The following is a 15,144-nucleotide window of genomic DNA, read 5'->3' on the forward strand; positions in this document are numbered from 1 at the left end:
GTGCTTTTCATTTTCCATGGTGTGTCTTCTCCCTTGATTCTCAGATGCCCCTAAGACATAGACAAGGCAGGTGTATCTGTTGGGAAAACAGAATCCACTCTAGGTATTTTAGCGGAAGGAATTCAATACAGGGAATTTGGTTAAAAAAGTTGGGGAGGAGCAGAGAAACCAAAAAGGGGCAGAGGCCAGTCCCTAGATGAGCAACCAGAGCTGAAGGGCGCAAGGAGTAGGGCACCTTAGCAGAGCCCAGGGCAGTGTTGGGCGGAGGCCTCCTCCGCGTGAGATGCTGTCCACATTGGAGGGAGGACCACCTGGCTTCTCACCACCTCTACCTTCCAGGCTTCTGCCACTGCCCCTGTTGGCTGAGCCTCACCAGCAGTCCTGGGAAATGTAGTTCCCTGTGTTTCAGAGCAGGCTAGGAAAAGGGCAGGCAATGGATCAAAGAGGGAACTCGATCCCCATTTGATAGATGAGAAAGCCAGAGGGTCTAATGGCCTGTCAGGGGCACCTCATTTAGTGACAGGCACCATCCCTGGCACTGAGGTAAGTCCCTTGGTTGCCAGGGTAACCTGAGGCAGCTCTTTGGGCATTGCATGCCACCAGCCAGTCACTGCTGCCTGGGATGGGCCTACATGGTTCCGAGTTCCTCCTCTGCCGGAGGAGTCCCCTCCAAGCTTCCCCCTCCCACACTCAGAGTGGACACTGCCTTTTGTTCCTGCCCATCGCACTGGGCTGTGCCCTGACCCTAAGGAAAGCCCTCCTGAGGACACCGTGCCGGAGAGTTCTGGGTGCTGGAGTATTCTCAGGGAGCCCCCTGCATGAGGTACCAGCATCCTGGGCCACACTAGAGGCCAGAGGAATGTTGTGCCACTGAGCAGCCCAAGCTGGCATTGAGCGGGCAGCTCTGTACTCAGCTGGCATCAGGCAAGTGTGGGTGGGAGCTGTGCTTTGTGCCCTCCTGGAGCTGGTGGCTTCACGGAGGTGAGGGGAGCCCAGGGGAGATGGAAGGTGCCCAGATACACAAACAGGGAAGCTCAACACCAATGTGAGAGTTTAAAGGAGACAGAGAAGCCCAGTTACACAAGAAAGCCTCGGTCAGAAGCGACGTGATTGCTAAGGTGACCTGGGCCCTTCTTGTAAAGCAGACCTGTTTCAAGTACTTTACACTTATTCACTTAGTTAATTCTCATAATAATCCTGTGAGGTAGGTATGGACTGTTAACCCCAGAGAGTTAAGTACCTTGGCCAAGGCCACACATCTAGGGAGTGGCACACCAGGAATCCATATAATAGTGGTAGTAATAGCCATGGACACTTCCTGGTGGTCACCTATGCCAGGCTGCCCTCAGAGCTCTACATATTAACTCATTTAATCTTCACAGTCACCCTATGAAGGAGGTACTTTTTTTTTTTTGGAGATGGGGGTCTCGCTGTGTCACCCAGGCTGGAGTGTAGTGGTGCAATCACAGCTCACTGCAGCTTCACAGTCCTGGGCTCAAGCGATCCTCCCACCTCAGCCTCCCAAGTAGCTGGGATCACAGGCGTGTGCCAACACGCCCAGCTAATTTTTATTATTTTTTATTTTTTGGTAGAGACAGGGTCTCACTTTCTTGCCCAGGCTGGTCTCGAACTCCTGGGCTCAGGTGATCCTCTCGCCGTGGCCTCCCACAGTGCTGGGATTACAGGCGTGAGCCGCCGCGCCCAGCCTTCTTGTTTCCATTTTGTGAGGTTGGTGCAAAAGTAATTGTGGTTTTTGCCATCGAAAGCAATGGCAAAAACCGCAATTACTTTTGCACCAACCAAATACAAATGAGGCAACTGAGGCACAAAGAGATTTAAGGGACCTGTCCAAGGTCACACGGCAGAGCTGAGTTCAAACCCAGGCAGCCTGAGTTCAGAATTTGTGCCCTTAACGGTGGCTCATGCCTGTAATCCCAGCACTTTGGGAGGCCGAGGTGGGCGGATCACCTGAGGTTGGGAGTTCAAGACCAGCCTGACCAACATGGAGAAACCCCTTCTCTACTAAAAATACAAAACTAGCCAGGCGTAGTGGCACATGCCACAGGGAGGCCACTCCCATGCACAGCAGTTAGGAATTGGTTGGAAGTCCTTGGAGGTGATTGGCCTGTGAGTTATGTCTAGTTTGTGTTGAGAAAGTGTCTTCGAGGACAGGAGTGGTGGCTCATGCCTGTAATCCCAGCACTTTGGGAGGCCAAGGCAGGCGGATCACTTGACGTCAGAAGTTTGAGACTAGCCTGACCAACATGGTGAAACCCTGCCTCCACTAAAAATACAAAAATTAGCGGATGTGGTGGTGGGTGCCAGTAATCCCAGCTACTCAGCAGGCAGAGGCAGGAGAATCACTTGAACCTGATCTCAGCAGTGAGCCGAGATCGCGCCACCGCACTCCAGCATGGGCGACAGAGCAACTCCATCTCAAAAAAAAAGGAAATTGTCTTTGAATCCAAGTTTAGGGGAAAAAAAAATCATCTGGAGTTGGTACACTCTCTTGGTCACAAGGAGAGGCCTTTGGAAGAGGAGCTCCACAGCTTCAGTGATGGTGATAAGAGAACCTTTTGTTTGGCACTAACTGGACAGCATGCCCTCCCACACAGCCGTGAAGCCACTGTTGTCGTCCCCACTTTCCAGGGGCATCACACGACCTTCCTGGCCTGTGGTCGCTGCTCAGGCCATGGGGATGGCTGCGCTTCTGCCATGAGTCCTTGGTGATAGCAGGTGAACGGTGAAGAGTCCATGTTCCCGGGAGCCCCTGCTGCTGGTGGAGGAATGGACAAGTAAACGACTGAATAGAGAAGCACGTTGGAACCAAGACTTCTCCAAAGCCAGTGCTTGTAACTGATTCGGGGTGCTGCTGTGGCGTGGTTAGGCATAGAGGCTCACATTCTAGCCTTGTCGCTTCCTAACTCTGTGACTTTGGTCTGGTGACCTCCCCTGCTGGCCTTCCGTTTCCTTAGCTGTAAAATGATCTGGTAAGACCTCCATCAGTCAAGATTGCAATCGGCTACATGTAACAAAAAACCAGTAAGCCGTGGCTTCAGTAAGGCAACAGGTGGTCTCTTACACATGAGAAGAAAAGGGAGGGAGGGCAGCTGGGGGCGGCGCCACTGTTGGGGGGTGCAGGGACAGGGAGCAGGCTCCTTCTGACTCCTCATCTTGCTGTCCCCAGCATGTCACTCTCAGCCTCATGCTCCCAAGATGACGGTTGCACCCCCTGATATGACATTTATATTCCAAGTACAAGAGAAGGGTAGAAGAGGTGTGCCCCATTTATTTATTAGGAAAACAATAGCTTCGCCAAAAGGTCCCATCCCCCATCCCCTGCAAACTTCCTCTTCCCTCACACTGGCCATAATCAGATACATCCTTAGTTTAGCTGCGTGGGAATCCAGGAAAGTAAGCTTTTTGGATTAGTATCCTGCCACCCCAACAAATGTGGACCTCTCTCAAGGAATCAGAAGAGGATGGGTTTGGATTTGACAACCAGCAGTGGAGCCTGAGGTGCCTGGCCCTGGAGTAACCCAGAGCAGGAGTGCGGGATTCTCCCACTGCGGGCCTGACTTCTGGTTTGTGATGTCCAGGAATGCCACTGCTTTGTGCCCTGTTTCTTCATCTGCATGTTGAGAGTGATGCCCCCTGCTGAGGAACACTTGGGAGAAGCTTTAAAACCTGGCTGGGAAGGACTTTGAAATACATCCCACCCCATAGGAGAGCTGAGGCTGGCTTTTGTTTGGAAAATTGTCGGGTTTTCTTCAAGTGGAGCCCAGCCGAACTAGCCGATTGACTGCCAGAGCCCAAACATACTGCCCTGAGACGGCTCATTTATTCACCTCTCTCCCTCCCGCTCGAGTCTGAACAGTGTGGGGGCTGAGAGTGGGAGTGATGGCTGCGGCTCTGCGGCCAGCATCTGGCACAGCGCCCAGCACCCACCAGGTACCCGGCTGAGGATTGACTGCCTTGCTTCTGAGCACCTCTTGATCTGAGGAGCAGTCAGATCTTCCCCAGTCGGTCCCTTCTCTGCACCAGCACCACCCTCCTTCTGGGCTAGGCCACTCTTGCCCCCACGTGGGTGGCTACCCTGGCCTCCTGATGAAGCCTCTGTACCCTCGGCAGGTCACGATCTCCATGACAGCCAGTCGGGCCACTGCCCCCCTAAACCTGCCATGGAGGTCAACTCCAGATTCCTGAACACTGTGGCATCCTTGCACCTGTTTTTCCTCCATCCCCCTCACCCACTCACACCCCTTTCCATGGCCAACTTCTCATCCTTCAGGGCTTAAACACCACCCCTTCCATGCCATCTTCCTTGGCCACCCACTCTCCAGCACCCTGCTCCCATCCTTCGTCAGTTTACCCCTTCCTTCTCTTGCTTTAGACTGATTTGTGTGCTTAAGTGCATTTAATTAATGTTTGTTTCCTCCTTTAGTCAGTGGACAGAGAAGGGGGCTATCGTGGTTACTGCTTTGTTACTTATCACATAGTAAGATCTCAGGAAATACTCACCTAGTGAATGGAAGTAAATCAAATGAATGAAAACTTGTTTGGTTTTTTTTCCCCCTGATTTTGAAACATTCACTGAAAGTAATATGAAAAAATATGGAAAGGGGCCAGGCGTGGTGGCCCACACCTGTAATTCCAACACTTTGGGAGGCGGGTGGATCACTTGAGGTCAGGAGTTGGAGACCGCCCGGAGCAACATAGCCAGACCTCCTCTCTACAAAAAATTTAAAAAATTAGTCAGGCATGGTGGTACACACCTGTATTCTCAGCTACTGACAGAATGAGACCCTGTCGTTAAAAAATATATATGGGGACCGGGCGCGGTGGCTCAACGCCTGTAATCCCAGCACTCTGGGAAGCCGAGGTGGTGGATCACTTGAGGTCAGGGGTTCGAGACCAGTCTGGCCAACATGGCGAAACCCCGTCTTTACTACAAATACAAAAATTAGTCAGGCATGGTAGTGGGCGCCTGTAATCCCAGCTACTCAGGAGGCTGAGGCAAGAGAATTGCTTGAACCCAGGAAGCGGACGTTGCAGTGAGCTGAAATCCCACCACTGCATTCCAGCCTAGAGTGCACTCCAGCAAGACTCCATCTCAAATATATATATATATGTATATATATGTGTATATATGTGTATACATATATACACACACACACACACGTATATATATACGTATATATATGTATATATATGGGAAGGTATAAAGAACAGATTTTCGAAAACCACTAGTAGCCCCAGCATCAAATTATCGAGTCTTTCCTGTCTTTTTTTCTGGGAATGCATCTGCATAGCCTATAGATGTTTACTGTCCTAGGGGTTGATAATTTCTTTAATGGTACTCCTGGTGTTGCTCATTGAGGTTGGGTTTTTTGCCTGTTATAAAGGATACTATGAATTTTTCTGCATCTCTTATTATTTATTTAGGATTAATTTACAGAAGTAGCATTCCTGGTTCAGAGGGTGAGAACTTTTTTTTTTTTCTTTTGAGACAGAGTCTCGCTCTGTCGCCCAGGCTGGAGTGCAGTGGCGCAATCTTGGCTCACTGCAAGCTCCGCCTCCCAGGTTCATGCCACTCTCCTGCCTCAGCCTCCCGAGTAGCTGGGACTACAGGCACCCACCACCACACCTGGCTAATTTTTTTTTATTTTTTATTTTTTATTTTTTAGTAGAGACAGGGTTTCACCATGTTAGCCAGGATGGTCTCGATTTCCTGACCTCGTGATCCACCCACCTCGGCCTCCCAAAGTGCCGGGATTACAGGCCTGAGCCACCATGCCCGGCCTGAGAACACTTTTTAAAGCTCTTGCCAAATTGCCCCTAGAAAGGGATCACCACTGGGAACATTAAAAAAGAAAGAAGTCTGTTGTCCTGGGGAGTGGCCAGTTTCCTGGTGTGCTGGGCTCATCGGGCTCCTGGAGAGCCATTTTCCTGGTCTCCTGAGGGCCTGGTGTCCCCTTCCAGCCTGCTGTGCTCTGCCTGGCCTGGGTTGCAGTCCCGGAGCAGGATGTTTGATTATGGTGTTGAGCAAACAGAACAGCAGGCCCTCGCCATCTGCCAGCTGGTCCCTCGGGCTTGAGAAGAGCTTCACATCCAGCGAGGGTCATAACTAGAGCCTTTCTAGAGCCTTCTGTGGTGCTGCTGAAGGGTGGGGCTGGAGTGCTCATTCCTAACAGTAGCCTGGCCCCACAACCCCCATTCCCACACACCTCTCCCCACTGGGAAGGAAGACAGGTGCCCCCCTGCATGTCTCAGGTGGGTAGAGGCGCCTCCCCTCTGTCCCCAGCTGTCACATATGGAGAGTTGTCCTGAAACTGCCTCTGTGAGGGTGCCCCGCTCTCCCTGACTCCCTCTGGGCTCGGAGGGAGTGCACATTCCCCCAGGCAGCCCGCAATGTTTGTGTTCATCCAGGCGAAGTGGCCCTGCAGGTTCTGGGAGTGGAAATCTCTTATAGGAGAGAGAAAGTGAATCTCAAGCTATGGCATGAGAGTGACTGGGGTGGCACAGAGGGTGATCAAACAGCTGAGTTTTTTGTTGTTTTGTTTTGTTTTTTAAGACAGAGTCTTGGCCAGGTGCGGTGGCTCACGCCTGTAATCCCAGCACTTTGGGTGGCTGAGGCAGGTGGATCACTTGAGGTCAGGAGTTCTAGAGCAGCCTGGCTGGCATGGTGAAACCCTGTCTCTACTAAAAATAGAAAATTAGCCAGGCGTGGTGGTGCATGCCTGTAATCCCAGCTTACTGGGGAGGCTGAGGCAGGAGAATCACTTGAAACCAGGAAGCAGAGGTTACAGTGAGCTGAGATCCCGCCACTGCACTCCAGCCTGGGTAACAAGAGTGAAACTCTGTCTCAAAAAAAAAAAAAAAAAAAAGACAAAGTCTTGCCCTGTCACCCAGGTTGGAGTGCAGTGGCACCATCATAGCTCAAGTGATCCTCCCGCCTCAGCTTCCTGAGTAGCTGAGTCTACAGGTGCATGTCACCATACTCAGCTCATTTTTTTTTTTTTTGGTAGAGATGGGGTCTCACTGTTGCCCAGGCTGGTTTCAAACTCCTGGGCTCAAGCTATGCTCACTGCCTCAGCCTCCCAAAGGGCTTGTATTACAGGTGTGAGCCACCATGCCCAGCAAACAGCTGAGATTTTTTTTTTTTTTTTTTTTTGAGACGGAGTCTCGCTCTGTTGCCCAGGCTGCACTATCTCGGCTCACTGCAGCCTCCACCTCCCAGGTTCAAGTGATTCTCCTGCCTCAACCTCCTGAGTAGCTGGGACTACAGGTGCCTGCCACCACGCCTAGCTAATTTTTGTATTTTTCATAGAGATGGGGTTTCACCATGTTAGCTGAGATTTTAAAATACATTTGTATACATTTTAAAGTTGCTTATGTCATACAAGAGTAAAATCTCACTGTTTAAAAATAACTCATGCAATACAAAAGACTTTAAAATTCTGTTATTGTGAAATGGAACATACATACAGACAAGCATGTAAAACGTGAATACACAGTTTACCGAAGAATTCCAAAGCAAGCACTCAGGTAACCCGGGTCCAGAAAGAGAACCTGCTGGCAGCCTGGAACCCCCATGGGCTCTGGCCACCAGAACCCTTTTTTTTTCCTTTTTTTTGAGACAGAGTCTCACTCTGTCACCCAGGCTGGAGTGCAGTAGTGCAATCTCCGGTCACTGCAGCCTCCGCCTCCAGGTTCAAGCAATTCTCCTGCCTCACCTCCCAAGTAGCTGGGATTACAGGCACCTGCCACAACACTTGGCTAATTTTTGTACTTTTAGTAGAGACGAGGTTTTGCCATGTTGGCCAGGCTGGTCTCGAACTTCTGAGCTCAGGTAACCCGCCCACCTCAGCCTCTCAGAGTGCTGGGATTACAGGCATGAGCCACCGCACGTGACCAGAACCCTCTTTCTAAAAGCAACTGCTCTCTGCACTTCACAGTCACCATTTCCTGGCATTGTGAAAGCTGTGTTCCCTAGATGAGCAACTCTAAATAACGTGGTTCCAGTTTACCTAGTTTTGAACTTTATATAAAAACAGTTGTGAACTGTATATGTTGTTCTGTCTGGCTTTTTCACTTAGTATCATGTCCGAGAGGTGCATTCTAGTTTGGAGTTAATGCATTTCTGGTCCTAAAGCCCATTTTCCTTGATAAACAGACAAGCTTTATGAGTTCTAATATTTGTACATTTTGTTTAATGAGTATTAGAAAAAAAATAAAACGAATCCAACATGGATATTCTTAAGGGTTTAGGCAGTGAGTTGGTTGAAAGGATCACGTTCAGTAAATAATAGTACAGGTGGGCTGCGGCTATGCCTGAGCAGAGGTGCGTGACTTTGGACAGTTTGGGAGCCCCAGTGGTGAGGACAGAATGAATGCACAGATGGCACACACCGTCGCTCCCCTCCCTGAGAAACCACTGTTACCTCTGGGCCTCTGCCTCCCAGATCTTTGCTCTGCAATGAGCTTGGTAGGTAGATAAAAGTATAAAATATGTAGCTTGAAAGATTTTTAAGTGCTAACTTTTTTTTTGAGACAGAGTTTCGCTCTTGTTGCCCAGGCTGGAGTGCAATGGCCTGATTTTGGCTCACCACAGCCTCTGCCTCCCGGGTTCAAGTGATTCTCCTGCCTCAGCCTCCCGAGTAGCTGGGATTACAGGGGTGTGCCACCACACCCAGCTAATTTTTGTATTTTTAGTAGAGACGGGATTTCATCATGTTGGCCAGGCTGGTCTGAAACTCCTGACCTCAGGTGATCTGCCCGCCTCAGCCTCCCAGAGTGCTGGGATTACAGGCGTGAGCCACCTCACCCAGCCTTAAGTACTAACTTCTTAAATGTGGGAGTATGCTTTTCTTCCGAATTAGTACTTCTTGGGGTTTCTAGGTTTGTTCTCTGATTAAAGTAACCAAATCCCTTGTAATATTGCACTTCAGGGTGGGGTAAGAATGGGCCAGGCAGACCCTGCCTGGAATACAGGGAACTCAGGGGCCAGGACAATGCGGCACATGCCAGTGACTCTTTTATTTAGCACATGGTTTGGTATCTGCCTCCTGATTTTTTTTTTCTTTTTAGAGATGGGGTCTCGCTATGTTGCCTAGGCTGGTCTTGAATTCCTGGCCTCAAGTCATCCGCCTGCCTCGACCTCCCAGCGTGCTGGGATTACAGGTGTGAGCCACCGTGCCCAGCCTTTCTTTTTCTTTCTTTTGTTTTCTATAATAATCTTGGCCAATTCCTTAGCTTCCCTCCCTCCCTGCAGATGTTGAGAACTTGGAATCTGGGAGGAGGTGACCAGAGGGGCCAGGCAGAAGCTGCCTGGGACACATCCTTAGTGGTGAGTTGACGTGGGGTTGTGACTCAGAAGCCAGAAATGTGCAGGGCCCTGGCCATCTGTGTGCACACGTGTGCAAGAGATATAGAGAAAAACAGAATGAGAGACAGACAAGGACAGGGCCGTGGAGAGACAGGTACAGGGATGCAGAGGGGTAGGGGGACAGGAGTACAGAGAGATGGAGCAGGGACAAGAAACATGGGACAGAGATGGGGCGGAGATGAAGAGAGATGGGAACAGGCCCCTGAGACATGAGACCTGTTGGCTGGTTAACTAGCTGGTTGGCTGTTTGGGTAATGGATTAGTTAACTGGTCGGTTGGTTATCTAGTTGGCTGGCTAATTGGTTATCTGGTTGGTTTGGGATTTTTGAGTTTTGTTTTTTTTTTTCATGGATTCAGAAAATACTAGTGGAAGATTCACCCTGTTGATGGCCCTGTTTTGGATGCTGGAGATAGACCAGTGAATGGTGGCTTGCTGGCATTTGGGTGTTGGATTGCTGCTCCCCACCCCTCACCCCGATGAGTGCACTGTGAGTGCAGGTGCTGTTGAAAGGATGTATCGCGTGCTTGCCATGTGCCCCTTAGTATGGGAGTGCCCTATGGGGATCATCTTGCTGGATCTACCAGCAGTCTCACGAGGTGGCACTTACCCCCTCTGGTACATATTAGGGCCAGAATTTGATCCTAGGCAATCTGGCTCCAAAGCATAAGCCTAATTTCTGCCTTAAGTCACCCAGGAGTGGAGTGCAGGCATTTATTAAGTGCCCCGGTGTTCATGGCTCTATCCCCAATCTTTAGAGATGACAGTGGTTTTAATGGCCATAGATTTGACCTGCCTGGGTTCAAGTCCCTCTTCTGCTTTCCCTCACTGGGTGCTCTTCAACAGGAACATGCTGCTCTGAGCCTCCCTGTTCCCTTCTGTAAAGTGGGGAGAACAGTAGGGCCTTCCTCCTCAGGATGCTGTGTGGGCTCAGTGGAGCCAGGTTTGAGGCCAGTCCTGAGTGGGGGCTGCCATTGCTATGTGCAGCTTAGGGAGCTTGACCACAGGGCAGGATGCCCACTTGGGCTCATGGTTCTGTAAATGCCAGTTTTTGCTCTCATTTTATTATTATTATTATTTTTTTTTTTGAGAAAGAGTCTCACTCTGTTGCCCAGGCTGTAGTGCAGTGGCACTACAGTGATCTCAGCGCACTGTAACTGCTGCCTCACGGGCTCAAGCGGTTCTCCTGCCTCAGCCTCCTGAGTAGTTAGGATTACAGGCGTGCATCACCACACCCGGCTAATTTTTGTATTTTTAGTAGAGACAGAGTTTCACCATGTTGGTCAGGCTGGTCTTGAACTCCTGACCTCAGGTGATCCGCCTGCCGTGGCCTCCCAAAGTGCTGGGATTACGGCCTGCTCTCATTTTTGACAACAGATGTTCTCAAATGGGGTGGCCCCATGAGTTGTCACGAGGGCAGACTCGAGTCAGCCAATCCCAGGTTCAGATTCCGGCTCCTCCTCCCCTTCTCTTTGTGGCCCTCTCTGAACCCCATTGTGAAGCACGGGTGACAGTAGCAGGTGATTAGAAGCTTCAGTGCAATGGTTTGTGTTATGGTGTCATGTGCTCTGCACAGGGCCTGGCTCCCCGACAGCCCTGGGTCAGGGGCCAGTTAGGATGATGGATGATTACTGCCAGCAGCTGGGTTTCCCCTCCACCCCCCTCCCCACTCCAACCTGGATAACAAGGCCCAGCTGTGTGTGTCCAGCACCTGCACCGCCCCCGCCGGCCCCCAGCTCCCATCCCTGCCAGCCTTCCCACGGCAGGGAGCCTTCCTGGCTGTGGTGTTCCGGGTGGGCCCCACTGCCGCCCCCCATCCCCTCAGCCTAGAGCCATCCTCAGGTTAGGATAAGCAGAGCCGGAGCCACCCTCAGCCCGGCCCCCAGCGGCAGGATGGAAAGAGTGGGACTTTAACAGATGTTCTTTTACAAGGATTCCCTGGCTCTATTTAATCAAGATTGTCGAATATTGATTTAATCTCCAGGCCCAACAGATGCGGTCTTAGCAGGTTTCAGTGGCAATTAGCTGGGATCAGTTTGCAGGTCAGGCTCCGTGCTGGCAAGACACTGTCTTCTAAAGGAGGCTTGGCCTGGCCACAGGAGTGAGCCCTGGAGGAGGGCGCGTACTAAGTATTTAACCATCAGTCTAGCCCGGGCAGTGGCCCACGGGAGCAGGCCCGCAGGCTGGGTCATAGCAGCCCCTGTGGGGCCCCAGTGTTCCCCCCATGATGATAGTGGGGACACTCAGCCCGTTTAGGGCAGCAGCTGTTCACTGAGAAAAAAATAATAATAATAACACTAAAAGAAGCAGCACAGCCACGCCAGGGCCTGCGGCTTGATCATGAGCCTGGCTGGAGCCGGGGAGATCCCTGCAGGGCAGCCTGGAGCCCTGATGATGCCCCCAGTTAAGTACCCAGAAGGGGCCACACCAACAACAGAGGCCTCTCACCTGCGCTTTCAGGCCCCTCGCCTGACTGCATCCCATCATCCCCACTCTACAAACATGGCTGTAGCTGCTGGGTGGGCCTGGCATTTGTGCCCATACTCCAAGAAGCATCCCATTCCACTTCTGCATTTCAAAGGCTCATTAGAGCGAATAGGACTGTGCCCAGAACTGGAACAAGCTGCTTCATCCACATGTGCTTCAGGGGAGGTCACGACAGCTTCCCTTAACCCAGCCAACCCCACAGAGACTCAGAGGGGCGCCCCACCCGGCCCTGGCACTGGGGCTGCCAGAAAGGAGCCTTTGCTCAAGGTGAGCCACCCTGGGCTGTCTGGCCCCTGAGCCCAGAGGAACAAGGGTTCCTTGCCAGGTCACATTTGGTTTGCTTGAGATTTTTTAAAAAGTATTATTATATAAGAAAAAATGAAGGCCGGGCACAGTGGCTCACGCCTGTAATCCCAACACTTTGGGAGGCCGAGGCGGGCAGATCACCTGAGGTCAGGAGTTTGAGACCAGCCTGGCCAACATGGCAAAACCCCATATCTACTAAAAATACAAAAATTAGCCGGGCGTGGTGGTGTGGGTGCCTGTAATCCCAGCTGCTTGGGAGGCTGAGGCAGGAGAATTGCTTGAACCTGGGAGGCAGAGGTTGCAGTGAGCCAAGATCGCGCCACTGCACTCCAGCCTGGGCAACGGAGCCAGACTCTGTCTCAAAAAAAGAAGAAGAAAAAATGATAATAGCCAATTCTCGTTTATCACTGCAGGCCAGGGATATTCTAAGCCATGGCATTTATTAACCCACATCTTTCCTAAGAGTTAAGCTGTATTATTATCTCCATTTTACAGATGGGAAAACTGAGGCATAGAGAGACTAGGTTGCCTGCCCAAGGTCTAGCTAGTTAAGTGATGGAGCTGGGAATTGAACCAAGATAGACTTTGCTTCTATCCACTCTGCTGCAGCCACCACACCAGGGAAGACCTCCAGCATCTGGTGATAAGTGAGAGAGGCAGCTGTGAAGGTATTCACCCATTTATTTTTTTAAAAATTTCATCTCTCTACGCAGGCGTGTAATCATATGAACATTTAACCTATAAATAAAGTTCAGTTATACCAGGTAGCAAAATTAAAATTAGACATTTCAGTTTAAGTATTTGGGGTGATTACAGCCTCTATTTCCCTGGGGAATATGTGAACACAAGGTGGGGTGCACTGTCCTTCCCTCATTGGCTCTGCGTGGGAGCCTGTCGCCAGGCCACGGAGGACTCTGCCTTTGGAAACATGCAAATTGTTCAGACTCCATGGGCCCTCAAGTAGAGAGCTCTAACTGTGCAGCTTGGAAGTCTCTCCCCATTCTGACTTCTAGAAGGTAAGGGCCTTGCAAGGGGTGACTCTCACTCTGCTCATGTTTTCCCTCACATGCTGACTTTTTTTTTTTTTTTTTTTTTAAGATGGACTTTCGCTGTTATTGCCCAGGCTGGAGTACAGTGGTGCGATCTTGGCTCACTACAACCTCCACCTCCTGGGTTCAAGCAATTCCTCCTGTCTCAGCCTCCCGAGTAGCTGGGATTACAGGTGCCTGCCACCACACCTAGCTAATTTTTTTTTTGTATTTTTAGTGGAGACAGGATTTCACCCTGTTGGCCAGGCTGGTCTCGAACTCCCGACCTCAGGTGATCCACCCGCCTTGGCCTCCCAAAGTGCTGGGATTACAGGCGTGATGCGTTACTGCACTAAAAGCACTTCACACCATGCTTGGCGTGCAGTGAGCACACGCTAAGTATAAGCTGTGTTCATTCCCTTGGGGCTGCGTGGGCATCTTGCATGCATTACACATAGCTCTACCTTGCTATTTATTTATTTATTTATTTATTTATTTTTGAGGCAACGTCTTGCTCTGTTGCCCGGGTTTGATCTCTTATTTATTTATCTATTTATTTATTTATTTATTTATTTATTTATTTTTGAGGCAACGTCTTGCTCTGTTGCCCGGGCTTGATCTCTTATTTATTTATTTATTTATTTATTTATTTATTTATTTATTTTTGAGGCAACGTCTTGCTCTGTTGCCTGGGCTTGATCTCTTGAGGAGATCCTGGCTAACTGCAGGCTTGAACTCCTGGGCTCAGGTGATCCTCCCGCCTCAGCCTCTTGAGTAGCTGGTACTATAGGCATGCACCACCACACCTGGCAAATTTTAAAAAAAAAATTTTTGTAGAGATAGGGTCTCGTTATGTTATCCAGGCTGGTCTCGAACTACCACCCTCAAGGGATCCTCTTGCCTCAGCCTCCCAAAGGGTTGAAATTGATTACAGGCCTGAGCCACTGGCCTGGCCTAGCTCTTTTTGTACAGATACATTGTATTCCCTGGAATAGAGGCACCCGGATTCACTTAACCCTTCTTGTGCTGGTGGGCATTTGGGCTGTTCTCAGTTCTTCTGTATTACAGCAATGTAAAACAGTCAAAGCATCGTGTACCTTTCTTGACGTAGACTGGTGTTATTATCAGAGAGACAGATTTCTGGAAGTGGAATTGCTGGATTAAAATAAATAGAATGAAGCCAGGCGCGGTGGCTCACGCCTGTAATCCCAGCACTTTGGGAGGCCAAGACGGGTGGATCACTTGAGGTCAGGAGTTCTAGACCAGCCTGGCCAATGTGGTGAAACCCCTGTCTCTACTAAAAATACGATAATTAGCTGGGCATGGTGACACATGCCTGTGATCCCAGCTACTCAGGAGGCTGAGGTAGGAGAATTGCTTGACCAAGGAGGCAGAGGTTTCAGTGAGCCGAGATCACGCCACTGCACTCCAGCCTGGGCGACAGAGCAAGATTCCATCTCAAAAAAGTAAAAATAAAAATAATAAAATAAATAGAATGCACACCTAAAATGTTGATGCATAATTCCAGCTCTCTCTCTTGACTTTCCCTAGTTGGGAAAAACTGTACTGATTTAACACCCTTAAAAGCAGAATGGATGTGATGGCTCACAACTGTAATCCCAGCAGTTTGGGAGGCCAAGATGGGAGGATCACTTAAGCCCGGGAGTTCAAGACCAGCCTGGGCAACGTAGCAAGACCCAGTCTCTACAAAAAAAAATTAAAAATTAGCCAGGTGTGCTGGCACACCCCTATAGTCCCAGTTACTTGGGAGGCTGAGGCAGGAGGATCACTTGAGCCCAGGAGGTTGAGGATGCAGTGAGCCATAATCACACCACTGCACTCCAGACCAGGCGACAGAGTAATTTAAAATTTTGATGCACAGTTCTAACTTATTCTTTCTATTCCCCCAAGGGGAGAAAACTCTACTGATTTAACAC

The 15,144-nt window shown here is 50.2% G+C and overlaps 1 protein-coding gene across 8 annotated transcripts in view, besides 2 other annotated features; it reads left to right on the forward strand.

Moving 5' to 3' along the window:
- Positions 1-15,144, forward strand: part of SIPA1L3 (signal induced proliferation associated 1 like 3) — a 301,162-nt gene that overhangs the window by 144,951 nt on the left and 141,067 nt on the right. The window lies entirely within an intron of this gene.
- Positions 199-700: an enhancer, noted in NCBI's record as "H3K4me1 hESC enhancer chr19:38542997-38543498 (GRCh37/hg19 assembly coordinates)". NCBI's record gives its function as "activates a minimal SCP1, AML or CMV promoter by ChIP-STARR-seq in primed H9 embryonic stem cells {active_cell/tissue: H9 hESC(primed)}" and the evidence as "EXISTENCE:reporter gene assay evidence [ECO:0000049][PMID:30033119]".
- Positions 3,398-3,968: an enhancer, noted in NCBI's record as "OCT4-NANOG-H3K27ac-H3K4me1 hESC enhancer chr19:38546196-38546766 (GRCh37/hg19 assembly coordinates)". NCBI's record gives its function as "activates a minimal SCP1, AML or CMV promoter by ChIP-STARR-seq in naive H9 embryonic stem cells {active_cell/tissue: H9 hESC(naive)}" and the evidence as "EXISTENCE:reporter gene assay evidence [ECO:0000049][PMID:30033119]".

Source organism: Homo sapiens, chromosome 19 (assembly GCF_000001405.40).
Source record: "Homo sapiens chromosome 19, GRCh38.p14 Primary Assembly".
Taxonomy (NCBI): domain Eukaryota; kingdom Metazoa; phylum Chordata; class Mammalia; order Primates; family Hominidae; genus Homo; species Homo sapiens.